Source organism: Homo sapiens, chromosome 10 (genome assembly GCF_000001405.40).
Source record: "Homo sapiens chromosome 10, GRCh38.p14 Primary Assembly".
Taxonomy (NCBI): Eukaryota; Metazoa; Chordata; class Mammalia; order Primates; family Hominidae; genus Homo; species Homo sapiens.
The window spans coordinates 71,350,033-71,375,063 of record NC_000010.11 but is presented as its reverse complement, the minus strand read 5'-3'; the positions used below and the strand labels follow the sequence as shown (position 1 = coordinate 71,375,063).

Below are 25,031 nucleotides of genomic sequence, written 5' to 3'. Positions count from 1 at the left end.
TACTCCCACCTGCGCTATTCCTCCTCTGCATTATCGCCATCTCAGGCATAGGTGAGATGAGCTGTTCAGCAGGATTTGATATGTACCAAAAGCTGTTCTACTACTGCTGCATCCTCCCAGGACCCCAAGAAGCAAGCGGGGAGCAGCTATTCTCATCTTACTTTCTGGAGCAGGAGAGGCTTGACTCACAGAGGCAAGCGACCCCATTTCTGGACCAGTCTCTGCACTGTCAAACAGTGTCTGAATAGGAAGGGGATGTTGGAAGAGGGTTTTACATGGAGCAAAACGTGGATAATGACACGCTAGCGGCAAGCCAAGGAGGTTAGGGGATCCAGGTTCTACACCAGAAGGGGCCCAACTCAAAGTGGTGAAGTCGCTGGCTGCTGCCTTTCACCAGCTGCCTTTCTCCCGCTGCCAGCTGAGGACCTGCACCCTTCCAGGATGGAGATGGGGACAGGGGCAGGCAACATTACTCTTCTTGTAGTTCTCTGCCCAAAAATCTAGGCTTCTCAGGCCTGCTTCCCACAACACACACACACACACCCCAACATGGAGCCTCTTGGCTTACCTTCGGGTTACCATGGCGGGAGCAGAATGGAGCTCTATCTTCTTACCATGAAGTTACACAGATATCATTATCTTGAAACCTCTTAAGAGGTAAAAAGGTGGCCAGCCATTGACCAGAGAGGACCCTTGGCCCCTGCCTATCATCTGTCACGCATGTCCTGAGGGGGTGGGAAATGGTTAAAGGGAGAGAGGAAAGGGAGCCCCCTAAATCTCTACCAATCCTGGCTATATATCCTAATAAGGCTCAGCTATGCATATTTAGGAAGACAGAGGAGAGGGAAATAGGAAGAGAGGTACAAATAATGAGGAAAGCAAGAGGTCTGCCTGGCTCAAAGGAAGTGAATTCAAACTTCTAGTAATGAAAATGGGCCCAGGACAATAATACAAATGGAGGCCCTATACCAGGTGTTTTCATATGTAAGTTACACATCAATGACTAAACTTAAAATATCTTCTCCCTTCTACCTTGACACATATATACCTTTATAACAACCTGGAAGGTCAGGTTGGAATCTAGAATTCTCTGACTTCTCAGAATTCTGCTCAGTCCCACATCTAGAAGGGTCTCCTGTGAACGAATGTAGATATCCCAACCTATAAGTCCCAACTCTGCACCCCTTGCAAACAGCCATTCCTTGCACCCAGGTGTGCCCTTAGCAGTCTGCCCTTGGGGCCATGGGTCTGGGAAAAGGCCTTCCCAGCCCTTCCTTATAGGTTCAAGCCCATTTAGGCAAGGGATTCAAGTGTCCCACGTACCCAGAGCATGGCAGAAGGGAAGAGGGCTGTGAGCTCCTGGTTATCATGTCCCTTTGGTCCTACAGACTCCTTGTCCCATAGGATGGGGTGCAAATGGATCTAAGGGCAGGATAATAATAAGAGCTAATATCTGATACGCTTTTTGCAGTTCACAAGGCACTCTGACAGGATCAGAATGTCGAGGCATGCAGGATTAATATCTCCATTTTACGGATGAGGATACTGAGGTTCAGAGTTCTCTGATTCCAAGCCCTGTGTCCTGACTCCCCTATTTCAAGAATCGAGGTGGCTGTTCCTTACCCAACAGGGCAGAGCCTGAGGTTCTTGAGCAGCAGAAAGCAAGGAAAGGGAAATTTCCCGACATCCTCACAACAGGCCAGGGCCAGCACACTTTGACATTTGACCTGTCCTATTCCTTTCTCCCAGAGCTTTATAAGCAGAAAGCAAGCCACAGACATCTGTCTTCTGAAAGACAAGGCCAGAGTTCTGCATTCGTAATTCACACAACATTATTAGAAAATGCAGTCAATTCAGTTTCTGTTTGAAAAAGTGTTGCTGGTTGGTAATGGCTCATTTCCCCTTTTTGAGTCTCAGCAAAGACTCAGAAAATGAAAAACAGTTAACATCACCTCAGCAGCTAATGAATTCCAGAGGACAGATAGGAGGTGTGACTACACCCTGGTAGGAGGCAGCCCCGCACCCCTCACCCACTGCTCCCCAGTTACAGGAATGCCTGCGAGGGGGTGAGATCACAGCGCCTTCCAGCCTGTCATCGCACGCATGCCTTGAGACTTGCCCCTCAGCCTCACTGTCTCGCCCCCGCCCCTGTCCCTCCTCCCTCCTCAATATTGATGGTGTTGGGCCTCAGCTGAAGGGAGCAGGTGGGAAAGACACAAGTGAGGAGTAAAGCCACCAGGCGCCAACCTTGGGGCGTGGTGAAGAAGATGAGCTTGGCACTTAAAATGCAAAGGCCCTGCCCTGAATCTGTGATCATTTTCAAGGAAGGTTGAGTGAGTGTCCACAATGCATTAGCTTCATTAAAGACTTTCCGGTTCCTGAGGCCTCAACTGGAACAGCAGCAGATGAAGCCCTCACTTTCTCTCCCCGGGCCAGGTGTGAGCTGATGACAACCCCTCATCACTCTTTGGTTTAGCACAGTGGTTCTCCTCGTGGGGTTCTCAGACCAGCAGCATCAGCACCACCTGGGAACTTGTTGGAACTACAAATTCTCAGGTCCCACACCAGACCTATGGAATCAGGGACTCTGGGAGTGGATACAGCAATCTGCATTTACCAAGTGCTCCAGGTGATTCTAATGAGGACTGCTGCTATTGTGACCATCAGGCACTTGAGTCTTGGAGTCAGGCAGACCTGGGTTTGAATCTCAGTTCTGCCACTTAGCAGCTATGTGAGTCTTAGTTTTGGCACATATAAAATGGGGATAATAATCCTTCCACCTAGTGACTGAATGGATTAAGTAAGATTATGCATTCACTTGCCCGGTTCATAGTGCTCAATAAGCAGTAGTTCCTCTATTTCTCTGGAAATCTGATTAGACAGAGGGACTTCAAGAAGTTCACCGTGAAGATGCTAACAGGCCAGTTCAGGTGTGTGGCTCCTGACTCACGCCTAAAGCCACCTCTTGCATCCTGTGACCGATGACTGGTTCTCACTACTTAACCAGGACTGAAACTGTCGATAGATCTGGTTTATTCCCCAGCTCTCTAAAAGGAATCCTCCTGCCTCTGAGAGCAGTGTGCAGACTTCCTCTTTGCAATGATTTCATGAAACAGCAGGACCTGCTGCACTTGCAGGCAGAGCTCTGGAACTGGGCTATTATTTCTGTCGTTCTTCCTCATTGAAAAAGTGGTCAGGATAACCTCTGCCCTGCCAACCTCCAAGGGCGATGGGAGGAGAAGTAATCATTTAGCCTGGATGGAGAGCTTTATATGGATTAAATCATTTAATCTTCACAACAATCCCATGAGGATAGACACACTGTCAATCCCTTTTACAGATAAGGAAACAGAGACACAGAGAGGTTAAGAAACCTGTCCAAGATCACTGACTAATAAGACATAGAGTCGGGGTTCAAAATCAGGCAGTCTGGCTTCTAAGTCCCTGCTCTTAAGCACTGTGCTCTGTCCATTGCTCTGTCCAGGAACACCATTAAACAGGACGGGTCACTGTAGCTTGGCACCCAGGGGCTCGGAAACCTTGGAATGCAGACCTCTTTGACTATCTGATGTAAGCTATAGCCCCTCTCCCAAAGCACAGAAACTTCTGCATATGATCTCAGGGGTTCCATGAATCCCTCTTTCCACCCAGAGGCCCCAGATTAAGACCCACATAAGACTCTTAGAAGGAAGTAGCAAGGACATCAGAAGTCTAGAGCCATGAGAACATTCTGCCCTGGTTAAACTCCAAGGAGTGGGGCGGGCTAGTGCAGTAGTGATGGAGGCCGTTGGGTGAAAGTGCTGGGAAGAGGACCTCACATCCTTCACCCTGGAGTGAGTGCATAGGAAGTGGGCTAGGAACGTGGGGGCTTTTTCCAGAATCGGAACAGCAATCAGTAAGACCTAGTGCTTGATGGATCAGTATTCACTACACTTTACAATAATCTATCATACATTTCAAAATAGCTAGAAGAGAATCATTCGGGCCAAGCGCGATGACTCACACCTGTAATCCCAGCACTTTGGGAGGCTGAGGTGAGTAGATCGTTTGAGCTCAGGAGTTCGAGACCAGCCTGGGCAACATAAAGAGACCCTGTCTCTATTAAAAATTAAAAAATAAATAATAAAATAATTTAGATGTTTCTAGTATAAAGAAAAGACAAATATTTAAGGTGATGGCTATCCCAATTGCCCTGATTTGATCTTTACAAATGATATCAGTGTATTAAATTATCATATGTACCCTGAAAATATATACCTCTATTATGTATCAATAAAAAATTACATTAAAAACTGCAAAACAATGGCACTTTTCTCACCAATATTTTGTTTTGGAAAATATAGTTATATTTCATTTTTTTAAAAAGCTGGGCACAGTGTCACATGCCTGTAGTCCCAGCTACTTGGGAGGCTGAGGTGGGAGGATCACTTGAGCCTAGGAGTTGGAGGTTGCAGTGAGCTATGATTGCACTTCCGAACAGCCACTGCACTCCAACCTCAGCAACATAGCAAGACTCCATCTCTTAAAATATATATAATAAATAAATAAACAAATAAGAAGGACAGCACTGAGGACGTTCAATCTCCTTGGGCCTCCGGAACTTAAATCTGTTAGAAACTGCTGGTCAGCACAGGCCTGGTGCCAGCTGGTTTACAGTAGCCCAAGTATGGTCTTGCTGAGGGGCAGAGGTTGGACTTGGTGGCCTCAGGGCCCCACCAGCTCTAGGCATATGTTTTAAGTTGGGAACAGAAGGCATGGTTATCCTAGAACTTCATACTTTACTCTTCTCTGTGTCTGCGAAGGTGGACCCACCCACGGTTCCTTGGCACGTTGGAGAGGACAGGCTTGAGGCATGTGGCACCTGAGATCCAGATGGTGAAGCTCTCTGCCTGTATCACATGCTCTGTAAATCTTGCTCTTGCCTTCATGAACCTTATGTTTCAAGTGCCTATAACATCTGCAGCCTTGGGTATTGATGACCAGTGACCCATCAGTGCCACCATAGAAGCACTGAGGGCAGGCTGGGTGGCCCCTGTCCCTCACACCGGACAAGTTCATCCTGACTCTGCTTCTCCCCCTCCTTACCCTGTCTACCCAGCATGTGCTCTGGGCGTCCTCAGATCCACAAACCATGTAAACTGGAAGTGCCCTTCTCAATCTTTTAAGGCAGCAGGGTGAAGAGGAAAGACAGGCTTTGGAGCCTCCTAGCTCTGGTCTGAATTCTAACATGGTCTCTTACTGACTTAATCTTTCTGAGTCTCAGTTTCCTCATCTGTAAAATGGGGATGACCCACCCCACCTGGCAGGGATACTGTACATAGGCAGAGCCTGACCATAGTAGCTGCTCAATGGTCAGTGCCTCCCTTTACTTTGATGTAGACCACACTCATCCTGCTGCAGAAGCAGGGCCTGCTCCCAAGCTCATGGCCAGCAGTGGATTGCAGAGCCCAGGTTGGATTGTTGCTCTACTCTGATCTCCTTAGCAAACAGTCATTTGTTTACGCTACACCTGTAGTGTTCTCATTTTTTGCAATATGAATAGGCTGAGGATTTTCCAAATCTTTAAGTTCTGCTTCCTTTTTACTTCACCATTCCATATTTAAGTCATTTCTCTTTTCTCACATGTTATTAGGAGAAGCCAAGCCACACTTTCAATATATTGCATAGAAATGTCCTCAGCTAAACATCTTGTTTCATCACTCTCAAGTTCTACCTGCCACAAAACACTAGAACACAAACACAGTTCAGCCAAGCTCCTTGACATTTGTCTTAGTCTGTTCACACTACTATAACAAAAATATCATAGCCTGGGTGGCTTCTATACAATAGAAATTTATTCCTCACAGTTCTAGAGGCTGGAAGATCCAAGATCAAGGTTGCAGCAGATTTGGTGTGTGCTGAGGGTCTGCTTCCTGGTTGACAGAGGGCCATCTTCTCACTGTGTTCTCACACGGCACAGGGGTGAGGGAGCTCTGTTGACTCTTTTATAAGGTTACTAATCACATTCATGAGGGTTCTACTCTCATGATCTAATCACCTCCCAAACATCCAACCTCCTAATACCATCAAGTTGGGGGTTAGGATTGGAACATGTGAATTTGGGGAGGACACAAACATTCATCTGTAGCACTAGGCTCCATTCCAAATGTTTTATGTGCATTGCCAGTATATCATCATAACCAGAGATGAGAGCAGTACTACAATCGCCCCTAGTGTTCAGATGAGAAAATGGAGGAGGGGATTGGACTTACCTTCAGTCACACAGCCAGGAAGTAGTAAGGACTCAAACCTAGGCAGAATGGCTCCAGAGCCCAGGCTCTTGGAACCCCGTTGGAACTACACTGGTTTCTAAAGGGCATCTTTGTTCATGGCTGTGCATTCATGATAGTGATAGAATGGGTAGTGGGGTGCCCAATTTTCCAGCTGAGGCATAGAAAAAAAAATGAAACAGCCTGTCCAAAGGACAAAGTGAGTGGTCTGGGGTCTTGGATTTCCAGCTTTGTGCCCAGTGTGTCCTGCCCCCAGGTCAGGCATGCCTGGGCAGGGAGATCCAGACAGGGGGCCTGAGCATCAAACAAGTGTCAGGTTCTAGGCCTGGGGGCCAGGCGAGGGGCCTGGCAAGTCCATTGAGCACTGGGTACAGGGTACAGCCTGCCATAGGGAAGCAGCTGGCATTGCAACAAGTTGTCCAGGCAGCAGCAAAAAGTGGAAGAAAACCAAGTTTGTTGAGGATCTATCATATGCCAGATACTTTGCATACAACATTAGGGCTTATTTAATCCTTTCTACAGCCCTGAGAGGCTTCTCATTTTATTTTTTATTTTTTTTAGAGACATAGTCTCTAGATACTCTGTTGCCCAGGCTGGGGTGCAGTGGTGCAATTCTAGCTCACTGTAACCTCCACCTCCTGGGCTCAAACAATCCTCCTGCCTCAGCCTCTTGAGTAGCTGGGACTATAGGCATGTACCACTAGGCCTGGCTAATTTTTGTATATATATATTTTTGTAGCGACAGGGTCTTACTATGTTGTCCAGGCTGGTCTTGAACTCCTGGCCTCAAGTGATTCTCCCGCCTTAGCCTCCCAAAGTGCTGGGATTATAGGTGTGAGCCACCATGCCTGGCCGGCTTATTTTAGACATCAGAAAAGGGCACCAGCAGGACGTGGCTAAAGTGACCCAGCTAGGAGGTGGCAGAAACAGCATTCCAACCTCGGTCTGAGTGTCTGAATCCTGTGACTGTTAATTCCTTGGCCCTATGCTGTGGCCCTGGAGCTCCTCTAACTTCCAGTCAAGCACCGGAACTGTTCTTAGCAGAGAGCACAGGGCCAATGGGTCAGCTGGCTGGAACCTTGTAGGGGCAGAGAGTATGGCTACCTTTGTCACTCTCCTTCAGGGTCAAGCCCAGGGAAGCCTGAAGTTGAGTTCGCCATCTCAGGCTGAGGCTGCCCTGGACTTCCTGAGTGGCAGAAACCTGGTGGCAGTAGGGGGTGTGCACTGTGCCCTGAGTTGCCTGCTGCAAAGGCTGTGACCCCTGGTGCATCTCTTGCCTATGTGGGCTGGGGAGTGGGTGTGACTGGGGTGAAAGGCTGGCTTAGTGGCACAGCAGATGGTCACAGCTCTGGGACTTACTATTATCCCTATTTTACAGATGAGGAAATGAGACTCAGGAAGGTTGACTCACACAGATGGTGCCTTGTGGGGCTGGGAGCAAGACTTCCTGACCTCTAAAGCTCTGTCTCATGTCCCACAACCCTGCTGTTCCAAGACAGGTTTGTCAGCAGCGAGCCATGCAGGGGTCACCTCAGCAGCAGGGGCTGGTGAACTGGGTGCAACTTAGTCTATCATCTCCAGGCTCTACCATCACCACGGCTGGCCCCCCGCCTCCCCTTGTGCTCCACACTAACTGCAAATCATCTCTCTAACAGAGATGCCTCCTCCACTTCTTTGAAAGCCATTCCCCTACAACACAGCATGAGAGACCCCCACTACTCCTTTCCCAATAGCCAGCTCTATGGCTACCTGACTAGTCCTAGCTTCTACCTGATGGTGGGGCAGAAATTCTTTCTAGGATCCTGCTGGAGTCAAAGCTAGACCGGGAACCAGGCAGCCTCAGCGAGTGGGTGAAGAGCAACAGTGACTCAGGCCCAGAGGCATACTGGCACTGACAATGCTGCCACCAAGGAAGTGACGATGGTAGAATAGGCACGAGGTACTCCCACTCAGAAAGCCCACCAAGTGGAGACATGCATGGGCTCTCAGTTCACATTCGACTGGAATGTACTATAAATATGTCAACAGGCTTTGCCTCCTCTTCTACGTGGAGTTCTCTATAAAAGCGTGACACTGGCTCAGAAGTTAAGCGCCCACATCACCTCCGAGCTGATGAAGAGGCCGAAGTCTTCTCCCTGGAGCACTGAGTGGAAGGCAGCTGAATGAGGGGTCTTTGCTCATAATACCACCCCTGGTTGAAGTTTCCCCCAGCTCCTATGCATGTAGGAATAAGCATGTTCTCAGAAATCCCTGTCACCCACTGGTTGAAGAGTCCCCTCATGTAGCTTTGTTAACTGAATAAAGGAGAAAAATGGTTGGGCATGGTGGCTCATGCCTGTAATCCCAGCACTTTGGGAGGCCGAGGTGGGAGAATTGCTTGAGTCCTCCCACCTTTTCACTTCACCATTCCATATTTAAGTCATTTCTCTCTCACATTTTATTATAAGCAGTCAGGAGGAGCCAAGCCACACTTTCAATACATTGCATAGAAATGTCCTCAGCCAAACATCTGATTTCATCACTCTCAAGTTCTACCTTTCACAAAACACTAGAACACAAACACGGTGTTTGCTTGAGTGGTTAGAGACCAGCCTAGGCAACATGGTGAGACTCTGCCTCTATAAAAAATTTTTTAAAAATTAGCTACGTGTGGTGGCAGGCACCCATGGTCCTAGCTCCTAGGGAGGCTGAGGTGTGAGGATTGCTTGAGCCCAGGAGGTCGAGGCTGCAGTGAGCTGTGATCATGCCACTGCACTCCAGCCTGGGTGACAAACTGAGACCTTGTCTCAAAGAAACCAAAACATTAAAAATTAAAAAGAAGGAAAATGAACATGTGTATGGTGCCCTAAAAACTGCCATTTGGAATTAAATCAGAGAACTCTTAGATAAAGACAACCTCTCAAGGCACCCCCTCTACCTCCCTCATTGAAAACTCCCCTCCTTTTTGGTGAGTTTTGTTCACCCCTCCAAACATATGAGCTGGTTCCAAGCCTGCTGGGTTCACATGAGACTTGAGATCCAGAGCAGCCAAAGCCCACGAACTGCTTCTCACGGCGGAGGGGGAACAAGCACGTCTGAACTCCCCCATCCACCCTTCTGCCTGGAGATGGATTTTTATTTTCCTTCCTCCCTCCCTGGGAGGGAATGACCCTCTGTGAAGTGCCCACTAAGGTGAGTAACCAAGCAGAGTGAGCAAAAGCCTGGATGATCCCCAACAGCCAAGCCGCCAGCCCCTCCCAACAGAGCGGCCTCTCCTCCCCTGGCAAAGTGGATGCAACTTAGTCTATCATCTCTATGCCCTGCCATCACCATGGCTGGCCCCCCAACTCCCCCTGTGCTCCACACTAACTGCAAATCATCTCTCTAATGGAGATGCCACCTCCACTTCTTTGAAAGCCCATTCCCCTACAACAGAGCATGAGAGACCCCCACTACTCCTTCCCCAATAGCTGCAAGGTGATCGCTCCAAGATGGTCCCCATCTCTGAGCTCAGAGACTGCTGGTTTACTTTAAGGCAGGCATGGTGCCCATTTCTTTTTCTTTTTCTTTCTTTTTTTCTTTTTGAGACGGAGTTTTGCCCTTTTTGCCCAGGCTGGAGTCCAATGGCATGGTCTCAGCTCACTGCAACATCCACCTCCCAGGTTCAAGTGATTCTCCTGACTCAGCCTCCCGAGTAGCTGGGATTACAGGCGTGCCCACCACCATGCCCGGCTAATTTTTGTATTTTCAGTAGAGACGGGATTTCGACATGTTGGTCAGGCTGGTCTCGAACTCCTGACCTCAGGTGGCCCGCCTGCCTCGGCCTCCCAAAGTGCTGGGATTACAGGCATGAACCACCATGCCCGGCCCATGCTGCTCATTTCTAAAACACTTGTGGTTGAGATGAGTCACCAGCTAGACCAACATCCCAAATCATCCGCAGCACTAAAGTCAATGAAAAAACCAAGGGGGAGACTTCAGGCTCCTGCAAAGGGAAGGGAGAACTTTTTCTTTTTGGTAGGTATCGAGTTCAGAAACCCTTTCAAGGTGTCCTCTTTAATTCTTCGGCCAAGGAGAGGGAATGTGTACTAGGCTGAGACGGTGGGGAGCATGAACTGCTGCCACCGGCTGGATTACTGACTGCTTCTGTTTCATCAGCCTCTGCAGGGCACCAATGAGCCAGTGCGCTTCTGCAGAGAAGCAAAGGGCTGATTCACGGCTCCAAGGGTTGCCACATCTTGGGGGTAAGTTCTGTTCTTTCTGCAGGACTCTTGAGAGAGAGCTCCTCGTCTGATCTGGTTCCTTTCTCTCTCTGATTCCCGTGCCATGCTGTTTTCCAAGGAATAGGCTTTTGGGAGCCTTCTAGACACCTGAAAAAAATATAAATTACTCTTCATGTCAGGAGATCGCCAATGTGAGGGGCCACAGCCCCCCCAGATAGAGCAATGGAACCTGGGCGTCGTCTTTTGAAACAACAGCTTCAACATACACAACTATTAGCAACAAACCAGAACAAAGCAACACCTAATCCTGCTGCTCAAAGCTTCAGAGCTTCAGTGATGTTCACAAAAAAGAAACCTGTGAAAGCCAAGGTGCTAGCTGGTCCTGCAATGCATGAGACTCTGGGCCAGACACCTTCCTGCTTCTCCAGGCCACTCTCTACCCTCTCCACCTGCTGCTGGCTGGGCTTTAGTCCAAGGGGCATGGAAATCAGAGGATGAATGGAGGGAATTTATTCCTTCAGCTTCCTCCTGCAGGGTTACAGCAGGCTGGCCATCCCATCCCCAGACAAAGTCACTCCCTAGGTTCTAGGACTCCCTCCCCTCCCCACATCAGGCCTGAGCTGGAATGGCCTATTACTAGTTTTTAGATAGAATGCACAACCCCCTGGGGTTCCTACACCTGCTCTTAAAACATCCTCAAGGTTGCAGTGAGCCGAGATTGAGCCACTGCACTCCAGCCTGGGTGACAGAGCAAGACTTCATCTCAAAAAAAAAAAAAAGAAAAGAAAAAGGAAAAAAAGAAAAAAAAATCCTCAAATTAGGCTGGGCACAGTGGCTCACACCTATAATCCCAGCACTTTGGGAAGCTGAGGTGGGAGGATCGCTTGAGCTCAGGAATTTGAGACCAGGCTGAGCAACATAGTAATACCCCATCTCTATGAAAAATTTTAAAAATACAGAAATTAGCGAGGCATGGTGGTGTGCACCTGTAGTCCCAGCTACTCAGGAGGCTGAGGCTGGAAGATCACTGGAGCCCAGGAGTTCAAGGCTGCAGTGAGCTATGATCGAGCCACTGCACTCCAGCCTGGGTGACAGAGCAATATCTTGTCTCAATAATAATAATAAATTTTAAAAAATCCTCAAATTGCCTAATCTGAGTGTGCCATTGCTTGTTAAGACTCTAACAGAGACATCAATGAGGCTTACATTGAATACGCAAGTATTTATTACGCCCTTGAACCAATGGCTTTGACATGTTGTAAACAGGAACACTGAAAGACCCTCATCTTGACCCAGGCCATAGACCACCAGGTCATGAGGATCCCTCTTTTTTTGAAAACCCAGGCCAGACATGCTTGATCCCTTGCACAGGGAGGCCCTCTGGTCCCTCTGGAATGAAGCATTCATGGAAGGCCCATCTTTCTGGGTTTTCCAGTCTGGTTAGTGGGCAGTTGTTCACCCACAGAACACAGGGGTCTGTGCACACTTGAGTCTTGGGCCTGAGGACTGACCATGCCAGGGGACTTCCATTCCAGGGAGACCCCTTCAGGGTAAGGAGAGCTGAGCATTTGCTTGCATCTCGCTGTCAGCTGGAATGAGCGCAGCTGGGAGGTTGCAAAGAGCCCATGGCTGGGTTTTGGCACTGGCTTTGTAATAACTCTAGGGCGAACACTGGCAGCATCTTTGAAGGGCTAGAAAGAAGGTGGAATGTTAACCATCAGCTGTGAAGGGAGTACCCCTGATTTGTGCTATTTCTTCTTCAACTGTCTCAGGAGTGTTCTGTTAATATGACTGGAATATCTGCCTTGCACGGAATGGGCATGGACGTGGCTCACTGGCATCTTGGGAGGGATGAGGCCCGAGTGTGCTCTGCTCTCTGTCCCCAAGTGAAACTTTAGGCCTTTCCTCCATGGCCCCCAGCCCTCCTGCACTCTCTTCTCATCTTCAAAGGCTCTGAAGCACCAATGTCCTTGTGTCCTCCCTTCTAGATGAGGTGCACCAGGAGGGTAGAGCAGGCTGAGCCCAGTGTTAAGCCCAAGCACACATAAAAGGACATCACCACTCCCGTGGCCTCAGCCAGCTCCCTGGGCACAATCTTAGGCCCGTAGAGGAGGGCCAGGGTGCTGAGGTAGCCGTTGCTGAGCCCCAGCAGGGAGCTGAGGAGTGCGGGGTACACATCGGACTGGAAGACCACAGTCTTCAGGTGGACGCGGGGCTGGTAGTTACAGAGCACGAAGAGGGGGATGAGGCAGGTCCGGAGGAGCACGAACCCTGGGAGCGCCTTGCTATTGGGCCCTGGCACCTGGATCCAGGCGGTGAGCTGCCGGCCACATAGGTCAGCAAAGTTGTACAGGAGGAAGGTAGTGAGGGGGATGAAAAACTTGGTGGTCCACAGTGAGCCCGAACCCTTGTTGAGGGACTCGATGTTGGTGCAGATGGCGGGGTAGATGAGGCTGGTGATGAAGAAGACGTAGGTGACACAGAAGCCCAGGCTGGCCGTCTTCTTCAGGATGGGGCGGAGAGGGGGTGTGTGGGAATCAATGAATCTGGAGGCCACCGAAGGGGCACTGAGGGAGTCCTGGGGAAGCTCCTCTTCACCAGAAAACACATGGGCCGCAAGAACAGGCCTCATGTAGTACCTGCAGGGAGGAGACAGGGCCACCATCAAGCAGGTTGCTTGGGATCTGAGTCAGCACAGCCAGGGGTGGGCACTCAGAACAGAACCTTCCAGCCCAGCATGGAGAGCCCAAGCCCCGTATGCCCACAGCTCCAGCGTTCCCTGAGATGACAGATGCTGTCACGGGGTGGCCAGGGGAAGGCCTGCGTTGTCCCTGGCCTGCCTGCCAGCGCGGTGGCCATGCCATGAGCAGGGACAGAGGAAACCAGGACTGACCACTGCATGGTGAGTCTGGGCCCCTGTCCTGGCTCACCTGTTTTTGTTATATTTTAGGAGAGTAGAGGTAAAATAGTATTAAAAATGCAGATTTCTAAAATGATAAAAGGAATGCAAGCTTGATACAACAAACCCAAATAATACAGAAAATAAATGATATAGTATTAATAGAAAGGGGACTCTGACCTCTTCCCACTTCTGATTTCACTCCTTAGTGGTACTGGCTGTTAACATTCTAGGCCGGGCATGATGGCTCACGCCTATAATCCCAATACTTTGGGAGATAGAGGCAGAAGGATTGCTTGAGCCCCAGAGTTCAACATCAGCCTGCACAACCAAGTGAAACTCTGTCTCTACAAAAATGACGATAATAATAATTGTAAAATAAAAGAAATTAGCCAGGTGTGGTGGTATATGCCCATAGTCCCAGCTACTGGGGAGGCTGAGGCAGGAGGATTGCTTGAGCCCAGTTGTTCAATATAGTGAGCTATGATCACACTACCACACTCCAGCCTGGATAACAGAGCGAGACCCTGTCTCAACAAAACAAAACAAAACAAAACAAAACAGAAAAACCAATCTGGTACATACTGTTCCATGCACACACAAACAACACTCACACAGTTACATTTCTTAAGCAAGAGTGGGGTCAAGCCATACATATTGTAAAACTTTCTGCAACAGTGTAATGCCTAAATACAATATCTGTAAATAATATATATAAATGCCTTATACTAACTGCCTAAATCATGCATAACTGTGAAACATAAATGAATACATAAAATTGCATAAAGAACAGTATCTTGTGGCCATCCTTCTACACAGGAACATGTGGCCTATGTCTCCCTTATGTTACTCTATGATGGTTCACCGGATGGATGTACAATTTAACTGCTCCTCTACTGATGGACACTTAGGTTGCCTCGACTTTTCATTACTACAGACAATGTTGCAATGAATATCCCTACACATAAATCCTTGCACATGTATACTAGTATTTTGGTAGGGCAGATTTCTAGAAGAGGAAATTACTGGATTAAAAGGTTTATACCTTTAACATTTTGATAGCTACTGATAAACTGCTCTCCTAATAGGTACTACCAGTTTAACTCTGCCCAGCACCATTTACCCACCCTAACTGAAGTAACTTGCCCTGTTCATCTCTACCAGAGGCACCTGTTTAGTTCCTTCAAAAGAACTAACCACAATCTACAGTAATTGCATTGGTTTACTTGTTTATCATGTGTCTCCTTCGGTAGAAGACAGGTTCTTGTCATCCTTGTAATCCCAGCACTTTGGGAGGCCAAGGCGGGCGGGTCACTTGAGGTTAGGAGTTCAAGACCAGCCTGACCCAATGGTGAAACCCCACCTCTACTAAAAATACAAAAATTAGCCAGGCATGGTGGTGTGCAACTGTAGTCCCAGCTACTCAGGAGGCTGAGGCAGGAGAATCACCTAAACTCGGGAGATGGACATTGCAGTGAGCCAAGACCGCATCACTGCACTCCAGCCTAGGTGACAGAGTAAGATTCCGTCTCAAAAAAAAAAAAAAAAAAAAAAAAAAAGAAGAAGAAGACAGGTTCCTGGAGCAAGGACCACATTTGACTGTTTCCAGCTAAATCTTCAGGCACGGAGTAGCCCTTCAACACATAACTGTTGAAAGAACTGAGAAGCAGCCTATAGAAGTGTCTTCCTTATCCTCAACACTGAATATCATTAATCTTTCCAACTTCTGCACTCTGACCAATAAGAAAGCTTAGATCACTTTCCCTTACTGTGTGACCTTGCCTGAGCCACTCAACCTCTCTGGGTCCCAGGTATCTGAAAACCAGGAGACACAGGCTGACTGTATTAATGCAGCTCAAACAGAGGGAGTTGGTGTAGGGGTGTGTGTGTAAGCAGTAACTTGGTTCTGGTTTCAGCCTTGTCTCTGCCTCCCTGTGTGATCTTGGGCCAGGCACACCCCTCTCTGGGCCTGCTTCCTCCTCTGTAAAATGGAGGTTTCAAACAGCCAAGAAGTTTTGAAGCCCCAGTCAGTCCTCCCACCCTGAGGACCTGCAGATAACACCCATGTGGGTGAGTGGGTGTGTGGGAGGGCCCGTCCCCAGAATCCAGAATCACTCTTCAGTGACGGTGAACGGGGTGCTTCAGCCAAAAGCCCTGTCTGGTTTCACAATCGCTATCTACGGAAAGGAATATTCTTACTTCCCCTCTATTCAGCGTCGTCAGGTCCTTGCCTTAAGTCTGCTCTCAGGAAATTCCCCACCAAGTTCCTCTGGTCGCAGCTCTTCCTCCTAAGTTCTTCCAAATTTTCCTGCATCGCCTCACTCTCCCAAATGTAGGACGGGCGAGCTTGCCTTTTCAGGAAGATTTAGTCCAAGCAGACCTGGGAGCACAGCTCTCTCCATGAGCCCCATCCTTAGAGAAGTGTCTGTGAGCCCACAGATCCAGACCCTAGTTTTAATCAGCAAAGAAACAGAAGCTTCGGTCCAGGCACAGTGGCTCGTGCCTGTAATCAATCCCAGCACTTTGGGAGGCTGAGGCGGGTGGATCACTTGAGGTCAGGAGTTTGAGACCAGCCTGGCCAACACGGTGAAACTCTGTCTCTACAAAAAATACAAAAATTAGCTGGGCGTGGCAGCCCATGCCTGTTGTCCCAGCTACTCGGGAGGCTAACTTGAGGATCGCTTGAGCCCTGGAGATAAAGGCTGCCGTGAGCCGTGATTGTGCCACTGCACTCCAACCTGGGCGACAGAGTGAGACTCCATCACAAAAAAAGAAAAAGAAAAAGAAATAGAAGCGTCTACAGGATAGCATGGTCCTGGGTGTTCTCTGTCTCACATGCTCAGCTGGAAGGGACTCTGGCCTGCCCAAATGAGACTAGGAGCTAGGCTGACCAACCATCCTGGTTTGCCTGAAATTGTCCTGGTTTTAATACTTACAGTCCCTTGTCCTGGGAGCTCCTTTGGCTCTAGGCAAGCAAGGAAGGTTGGCTACCCTGCTGGAAACAGACCCACCCAAAGCACCAGAAACAGGACACGAGCAAACAACACAAGGAGTGGGGCGACCCTCCTGTTCCTCTGTTCATTCAGTGGCTGGAGAATCATTTAAGGCACAACGCTGAGGTGCCAGGCAGTGTACAGGATGCTGGGGGATGGAGAGCCAGCCAGGGCACAGGAAGCACGGGGACGTCAGCCTGGAGCCACAGCTAGGCAATTTCTGATGACAGCCCTGAAGGGGCGGGGAGGACTGGGCAGCCCAGGGGTCTGTAGGTGCCTGGGATACTGCATAGCTCAAGCAGATCAGCCCCCTCCTATCCTCAGAACCCTGAGGACTGCTGAAGCGGTGAAGAATCCTTTAGCTGGGGAAAGTGGCTCACTACCAGCCCAGGGGGAATCGCTGTTCTGCTGAAAGGCTGGGGGTTCTAGGGGTTAACGAAGTGACTCTCCTCATGAGGACAGGGAGAATGAATGATGAGATAAGGCCCTTGCAGTTGCGAGCCAGGGATGCAGCATGATCCGGTGGGGAGAGGCTACTCCAGAAACAGCTCCAGTCCTGCCGTGACTCACCAGATGAGTGACCTGGGGCATGCTTGTGAACTCTCCAAAGCTTCAGTTTCCCCAGCTCTCAAGTGAGAAAATACGATCACAGCTGCACAGATTGTCATAAATCATAAACAAAAATATACACATAAACTGCTTAGCTTTGTGCCACTGCAAAAAATAGCTTCCTGTGGAACAGGGCCGCATCAGGGGCAGATCTCTCCCCAGCTCTGCTGGCTAACGCACCTGGCACTTCACTTAGCCTTCTCTTGGTCTCAGTTTCCTCACCTGTTAAATGGGGATAACTCCTGCCTTTCCTACATCAAATAAGATAGTGGATAGGAAAATGCTTTGAAAAGAATAAAACACGAGAGAAAGACAAGCGTTGTTTTTATAAAAAGCAGCAGGCAGCAAGAAAGCAAAAGGAGGAACTGGAGACAGAAAGCAAGAGTAAGACTCGAGACAAGAAAACAGGTCCTAGAGGTGGAAAGGAGCCCCATAAGGCAGCAAGTTGTCCAAGCACAGGTTTGGAGTCATCTTAAAATCCTGCCTGGCTCTACTGCCTACTGGCTCTGAGATTCAGGCAAGTAATAATTTAACCTCTTTGTGCTGGGCATGGTGGCTCATGCCTGTAATCCTAGCACTTTGGGAGGCTGAGGCAGGAGGATCACTTGAGCACAGGAGTTCAAGACCACCCTGGGCAACATAGTGAGACTCTGTCTCTATACAAGCTTTTTTTTTTTGAGATGGAGGCTTGCTCTGTCGCCCAGGCTGGAGTGCAGGGGTGCGATCTCAGCTCACTGCAAGCTCCGTCTCCCAGGTTCACACCATTCTCTTGCCTCAGCCGCCCGAGTAGCTGGGACTACAGGCACCCGCCACCATGCCCGGCTAATTTTTTGTATTTTTAGTAGAGATGGGGTTTCACTGTGTTAGCCAGGATGGTCTCGATCTCCTGACCTGATGATCCGGCCTGCCTTGGCCTCCCAAAGTGCTGGGATTACAGGCGTGAGCCACCGTGCCTGGCCTACAAAAACTTTTTTAAAAAATAGCTGGGTGTGGTGGCACACCTGGAGTCCCAGCTATTTGGGAGGCTGAGGTGGAAGGACAGCTTGAGCCCAGGAGGTCAAGGCTGCAGCAGGCCACGATTGCATCCCTGCACTCCAGCCTGGCCTGCAGAGTGAAACCCTGTCTCTACTAAAACAACAGCAATTTAATCTCTCTGAACCCTGGTTTTCTAATCTGTGCATGGGAATAATAAAAAATAATAATAGTACTGTACTCTAAGAGGAACAGGGGAGTGTGAGTTTGTCTTTTGTTTGTTTGTTCATTTTCAGAGAGACAGGGTCTTGCCGTCACCCAGGCTGGAATTGCAGTAGTGCAGTCAGCTCACTGCAGCCTCCAACTCCTGGGCTCAAGTGATCCTCCCACTTCAGCCTCCTGAGTAGCTGGGACTAGAGGCACATGCGGCCATGCCCAGCTAATTTTTTATTTTTTGTAGAGACAGGGTCTCACTGTGTTGCCCAGAATGGGTCTTGAACTCCTGGGCTCAAGCGATCCACTGCCTTGGCCTCCCAAAGTGCTGGGATTACAGGTGTGCTCCACGGTGCCTGGATAGAGGTGTGAGCATTGTATGAGGTAGGACACATCAAGCTCGCAGGAACACAGCGCTGGAATAAGGGGTTGTGTTTCACCAGTGTGAACTATTATTCACCATGATTAAACTTGAGGCTCCAACTGCTTGACTGTGGCACAGAGCCAGCCTCTCACGTCCACCAGCCAAGCCTATTTGTTGAACAACTGCTTTGAGCCATAGCACCTAGACAAAGAAGCCAGCATAGAAGCTGCTGAGAAAAAGAAGCATGGCTATAACTGGATACACAGGAAGGAGGCATGGACAGTGAGTGGCACCTTCACCTGGCATACTCCAGCCTGGACAGCAGCAGGTAGAGTCCCATGCAGAGCACGAGGAAGACAGTGGCCGTCAGGAAGAAGGCCAGGGCGCTGTTCCTCACATCACTGGATGCAGCCAAGTCCACCAATGAGGCCACGGCGCTGACCGTCCCGCCCATGGCTCCTCCTGCAGAGAACAGAGGACACGCAGAGATGGTGAGGGGTGGGCGAGGAGGAGTGGCTGCGGGCCCCTCCCTGCTTGGGTTTCACAAACCAAAATAAAAATTCCTCCGTGCGAAAAATGCCAAAGCTCTCTCAGTGTCCTGAAGCCTCAGAGACAGGGAGGGCCCAGCAGCCAAGCATTTCCAGCATTTCCTGAGTTTCCAAGGGGGTCATTTTCCCCTCCCTCTGCTGGACTTGTAAGAGGCTGCTGCCTGAGGTGGCACATGGCCTTCAGGGGACCACCAGTCCTCTGCCTTTCCTGTTTCACCTCTGACCCTCAACCTCCATCTCTCTTTATTGCCCTTCTAGTGGGGGCTGAAATTTTAGATTTAGGGGCAGGAAGTGCCAGAGACCTCTGGATTTCCTCTTCTCTGCCCCCGGCCCAAAGTACCCACCAACCAAACTGGGAAGGAGGCTCAGGGACTGTCCTCACATAGGGTCCCCTGCTGCCCAGAGGCCACCCTTTCTGGGGGTGTCCTCACTGGCTATAAACCCCCACCATTGCCCACCCATGAGCTCACAGAACCTACTGTGTACCCCAAGGCGGCTGTGGCACCATGCACATGTGAATGCATGTGTAACACATACAACACTCACACACACAGTCATACACCTACATGCACACACAAGCACGCAACCACCCCACCACATGGAATGTTCTCCTTGCCAATGGCTTTGACACACATTACCTGTGAGACCGTGTGGCTGCCACACCTTTCACTGCTACCTAACAGAGGAGGCCACACGACCTACTCGGGTGCCAACGGGGCTAGGAGTCAGGCGGATGGACGTGTCACCCTGGACTCTGCTACTTGCTAGCTGGGACCCTAGGGGTAACGTGGCTTCTCTGACTTTACAGTTTGCTCGCTTATAGAATGGGAATAACAACCCCTGCCCTGTGTGTTGCTTTGAGGACTGACTGAGATGTTCACAAAGGGCCTGGCACACAGTAGACTTCAACAAACGCTATGCCCTGCCTCGCCACGACTGCATTGTTGCTTCTGGGAGGCAGCAGACATGTCTTTCTGTTCCTTCGAACCCTCACAGCCATGGGTCATCTTCCTGTGCTGGCCATGAGTCAGAAGGTCTGTGTGCAGCATTGCTTGGGAACACTGGCACCAGCGTGGGCTGATCACTTACTTTCTTCCCTGCCTGTGTTTATTTGCCTGGAAAGTGGGGCTAACACTTGTCCTGTTCATCACAGGTGACCGTAGTGAGGTGGAAACAGGACGATGAGTGGAAAAGCACTGACAACAAGGCCAACACCATCACCATCAATGCGGGAAGGGCCTGATGGATGAGCTGGGTTGACTGGCGGGATGAACCTGCCCACTTCAGAGGATCAGAATGTCCATTCCTGAAGAGGTGGGAAGAAGGCTGGGTCCGTGTGGGCATGGCCTGCTCTGTCTCCATCAGGCAGCTCTTACACAGCACCACTTTCCTGCCCACTATTGCACGAAGCAGAGGGGAAGGGGGACAGTCAGGCCCCGTCCACCGTGCGCACCATCACGGCTCCCCATGCTCTGCCTGTGGCCTCTATGGCTCTACAGAGAATAGCCCTTGGTCTGACGGAGGATCCTTTCCCCAGCCTCTCCACCATAAGTTCTATTAGCCTGGGTAGTACTTGAGGGAGGGCAAAGGTATAAAAATTAGCACTGTAATTAGGAACTCAGACTCCAGAATCAAAACATCCGAGTCCAAACCTGGCTCTACTTCTTCTAGTTGTGTGACCTTCAGCAAGTCCCTTAACCTCACTGTGCCTCTGTATCCTCATCTATACAATGGGGGTGTTAATAATACCCACCTCGTAGGGCTGTGATGAAGATTAAAAGGATTATTACACGTGAAGCACTCAGAAGCCTGCCTGGTGCGGAGAAGTGCCAAATACCAAACAAATCCTTTCTGATTCCCAGTTAGGTGCTTGGCTATTTCTGTGCTTCCCACATCAAAGCAGCAACAACGGGTAAACCCTTTGCCAAGAGGATGCCCACTTCTGAGAAGCTGTAATCCCCGCCTAGACATTTTGCAAGAACTGGGGTTAAACTCAGTAAGACACTCCCCAGCTGCCCCAAGGAGGAGATCTTAACATCACTGCCTACTGATTTTCCTCTCTCTCTTTCCAACTTGTAGAGAATTTACAATATTATCATCAACAACAAACCAGGCCTCCGGGAGCTCATCCTTCATGACTCTCCACTTTTATCTCATCAGTTATGGAAATACATGCAAATGAGGGGTTTAAAAAAACACCAGCGCAAAACAAATGAATTGTTCCTCAGATGCCAACGCGTGCGGAATTCACAGACGGGCTGTGCTGGAAAAAAGCAAGTGGGGCTGGCGAGGTGGTCTTGTGGCCTCTGGAAGACTGGGACACCTTGATTTTCCAGGGTGTTGGGCACCCACGAGGGCCCAATACAGTGGTGACCACGGTTTAGACTCAGGGTCATTAATACTGGCGTAGAAGTACTAAACTTCCCCACTTTTCTGAACGGACTTTCTGAAAAATCCATAGGAGACTCCCCATCCCTAGAAGATCACAGGTGGACAGATTAACCCGAGGACCGCTTGCCAATGTAAATGGTGAGTTTGGTCACTGGCTCCTGGAGAGCCTGCCAGCAAGGATGGAAGGAACTAAGGGGATAAGAGCCTCCTTCTGAGATGGCGGTGACAGAAGGAATTAAATCCCATGTCCAGTGGCCACTGCCTTCAGTCCAGAAATGCCCGTTTGAAAGCATCGCTGATGCATGTTGCCTGCACCCAGGAAACTTAGCAACAAGTCCATTTTTATTTTATCTTAGGCCCAAGTGTTTCCCAGGATACAGCCAGAAGCCTAATCTGATCTCAGAAATGGCAAACAGATTGAAGCTCACATCTAGACTCTGATCTGCTGAGAGTAACTGCCTCAAGTGCTGCGCTGAGAAGGATTTAGAAGCTCAGGATGAAAGATAGAGATCCACCAGTGATGTCTGGCACTGGCTCGAGTGGGGAAGGGACATACCCTTGTCAAAGTATTGTCATCCTGGCCACATGCTTCCTGGCATTATTAACTAAGGGGCACAGCACAGGTTCCTTGTGAAATTGCTGTCAGTGGGCAAATGTTTAGAGCTCTCCTCTGCATAACAGGGGCATGTGGAAGGGCAGACACAGCAGCAGAACCTCCAGTCTTGCTCCCAGGGACTGTGGCCTCCTGGCAAAGCACCAATGGTTCCTGACCCGCTCCTTTTTACCTGGCTGGGTCATCTGGGTGAGAGATGTGTGTGTCTCCAGCTTAGAGAACAAAAGTGCCAAGGCCTCCGGAACAGGCTCATCAACATCAGCATCAAACATCAGCTAGAGGGGTCGGCCCACGTCGTGCACAGGCATACCCACGGGATACCAAAGCTTGGGGGTGCTGGGGGTGAGAGTTTATTCACTGAGCCATCAGCTCCGAGGGGACTGGTGCTTGTTCATCTTTGCATCCCCAGGACATAGCAGGTCCTCTATAAAATCAGAAAGGAAGAAAAGACAGAAGGAAGGAAAGGAGACAAGAAGGGGAAGAAAGATAAGGAAAAGGAAAAATAGGAGAGGAATAGGAGAAGGAGGGAAGGAAAGGGAGGAAGGCTGGTTTCAGGAATTGCCTTTTGTAGGCAGACCATGTTATCCAAAAATAGCTGCGACTCTGTCTCCCCTCCTGCCTACCTTCTCACAGTCACGGTGGGAGACTTTCATACTCTCCCAGAGGTGGGTCCATCTGTCTTGAGTCTGGGTGAGCTTATGGCTATGGCAGAACTGACCCTATGTGGCTTCTTTTGCTAAATCAGAAATAAAGCTTCTGCCTGGATCTCCTGAAATGCCGGCTTTTGCAACCCAGACACCATGCCATGAGGAAGTCAAAGTTGCCATTTGAGGTCCACATAGAGAGGAACGGAAGTCCCTGGCCCCAGCCCAGCCCTGGCTAAGCTTCCAGCCAGCAGCCACTATCAACACGCCAGCCAGGAGGGCGTGCCACCTGGAACTGGATCCTCCGCTCCCCGTCGAGCTATGCTGGCTGATGCCATGGGGAGAAGAGAAGAGCTACACCTGCAAACTCCTGTCCAAGCTGCAAATTTGTGAGTAGTAGAAATGACCGTTGTTGTTCTACAACACTAGATGACTGAAACACAATCAGCACCCATGCCATTTCCTTTTCAGAAAAGGCCACCACATGCTCATCTCTGGCTCCCTCCCATGACTCCTGGGTGGATGAACCTGGTCAGCTGCCCGGACCCTGGCTCTCACCTGATATCAGTGCCTGGGAGTTCCTCATAGGAAAGGAGCCGGTCATGCCGTAGATGCTGCTGCTGAAGACAGTGGAGGCACCGCTGAGGATCACCATGCAGACAATGGTGACCGCAAAAAAGCCACGGGTCCAGGAGGAAGTGTCCACCTTCACCAGTGCAGTTATCACCATGAAGATGGCCAGGATGACCGTCAGTGAGGCCAGGACACGGATGTGGACTGCAACCCTGGGGCGAGGATGCCAGAAGCAGTTAGACACCCCTTCGGGGCTCCTGTGTGGGCTGGGGCTGGTGAGCCACCTTAAGGGAAGCAGGCGAGCTTAGCAGTTAGGACTGTTCACTCTGCAGTCAAGAGGCCTGCACTCGAATCCTGCCTTCCCGGCTCCCTAGCTGTGTGGCCTTGGGTAAGGGACTCAGTTGCTCTGGTTTCAGCTTTTGAACTTGTACAATGGGGAGAGTTGATTCAACTCACAGGGGGGTGAGGCTGAAGAGGTGAGCAGTGTGGGGTGCAAGCGGCAGTGCCTGGCTCAGGGCCAGCGCTCAGTGGGTTCTGCTGCTTTTCACCTTGCTGTGAGGTTCAAGGACACGAGGACACCAGGATGTTCAAGGCAAACCCCTGCTCTTCCTGCCACAGGGCTGAGCTCCTGCTGGCTTTGTCTAGTGTTTAAACAGAGCAGCCACCCACTGAGCTTCCTTTCCCCAAAACTTAGCAGGAGGTTTGGGGGCAAAGGGAAGAAGGAAAGAAAATCATCGTCGTCATCTTCATCATCATCGTCGCCATAGCAAACACTCAAACAGTGTTTAATGCATACTTTTCTAGCACTCTTCTAGGCATTTTCTGTATGCCAGTGTGTTTGATTGTTACACCGGTTCTGTAAGACAGGTATTCGTACCTATCCCATGTATACAGATAAGGAAGCTGACATCAGAGAGGCTGAGGAACTAGCTCAAAGTCACTCAGCAATGAACCCAGGAGGCCTGGCTCTGGTCAGTTCTCAGAATGATGCTCTACTGCCTCCCCTGGAGTGAGGAAATATGGATGGCACAGAAGTGGTGGCCAGGGCAGGGGCATCCTCCTGTGATGGCCTCAGTCATCATGGGGAGCAGGTGATGCCAAGTTAGTGCTGCCTGGGGCCAAGGGAACCCCCACACTCCCCAGCACCATGCCTGCATATGAGCCATGTACTCTTCCCAGCCCCCATACTGGCCTGGGGAGAAAAGCAGGGAAGGATTCTATCTGAGAAGCTGCACATTTTTATTCTAGGAAGCAAGAACATCATCTCAAGGGGCTGCTTAAATCATCAGATTAGACTAAGCTTTAAACCGGATTGGATGTGTAGTTAATTTTCCTGCTAACCAGTGGGAGGGGGCTGGGAGAAAAGCCAGATTACATACTTTTTTTTAATTAAAAAAAGAAAAACTTGAAAGGTAGGAAAAATACACACACACACACACACACACACACACACACACACGTAGGTGTGAAATGATGAGCAAGAAAAGCAAGAAAGGAATTTTTTCAAAGTGCTTTTGTGGCCCCAGGCTAATTTGAGTTTCCCTCTGGTCCTCAGCTAAAGGGAGAGCAGGTGCTGTCACTGCTTTCTAAGGGGTATGAGGAAGCCCAAGAAATGAAGGGACAGTTCAAGGTTGTGGAGTGAGTCTGTAGGGAGCTGGGATGAGAACCCAGGTGTGCTGAGCCCCAGCCCATCACTCAGTCTGTTAACATGTGTACTCAATGGTGTGGTCATTCCGCAAAT

At 49.7% G+C, this 25,031-nt stretch overlaps 1 protein-coding gene across 7 annotated transcripts in view, besides 4 other annotated features; it reads right to left on the bottom strand.

The window, feature by feature from the left end:
• Positions 1-25,031, bottom strand: part of SLC29A3 (solute carrier family 29 member 3) — a 62,165-nt gene that overhangs the window by 6,360 nt on the left and 30,774 nt on the right. For 3 of the 7 annotated variants that reach the window (NR_033413.2, NM_001363518.2, NM_018344.6), the window contains 3 exons: positions 23,276-23,502; positions 18,821-18,983; positions 11,679-13,110 (listed from right to left, as the gene is read on the bottom strand). Coding sequence is in view for 5 of the 7 variants with exons in the window: in NM_001363518.2 (NP_001350447.1) it covers positions 12,456-13,110; positions 18,821-18,983; positions 23,276-23,502 (1,045 nt within the window). In the remaining 2 variants the exon portion in view is untranslated. Of the gene's footprint in view, positions 1-8,688; positions 10,619-11,678; positions 13,111-18,814; positions 18,984-23,275; positions 23,503-25,031 lie in introns of those variants that run through there. The other 4 variants (XM_047425424.1, NM_001174098.2, XM_047425425.1 and 1 more) reach the window with 4 other exon arrangements.
• Positions 1,681-1,730: an enhancer, noted in NCBI's record as "active region_3513". NCBI's record gives its function as "activates an Ori minimal core promoter by ATAC-STARR-seq in GM12878 lymphoblastoid cells {active_cell/tissue: GM12878}" and the evidence as "EXISTENCE:reporter gene assay evidence [ECO:0000049][PMID:35858748]".
• Positions 15,390-15,479: a silencer, noted in NCBI's record as "silent region_2462". NCBI's record gives its function as "represses an Ori minimal core promoter by ATAC-STARR-seq in GM12878 lymphoblastoid cells {active_cell/tissue: GM12878}" and the evidence as "EXISTENCE:reporter gene assay evidence [ECO:0000049][PMID:35858748]".
• Positions 23,110-23,610: an enhancer, noted in NCBI's record as "H3K4me1 hESC enhancer chr10:73111211-73111711 (GRCh37/hg19 assembly coordinates)". NCBI's record gives its function as "activates a minimal SCP1, AML or CMV promoter by ChIP-STARR-seq in naive H9 embryonic stem cells {active_cell/tissue: H9 hESC(naive)}" and the evidence as "EXISTENCE:reporter gene assay evidence [ECO:0000049][PMID:30033119]".
• Positions 23,611-24,111: an enhancer, noted in NCBI's record as "H3K4me1 hESC enhancer chr10:73110710-73111210 (GRCh37/hg19 assembly coordinates)". NCBI's record gives its function as "activates a minimal SCP1, AML or CMV promoter by ChIP-STARR-seq in primed H9 embryonic stem cells {active_cell/tissue: H9 hESC(primed)}" and the evidence as "EXISTENCE:reporter gene assay evidence [ECO:0000049][PMID:30033119]".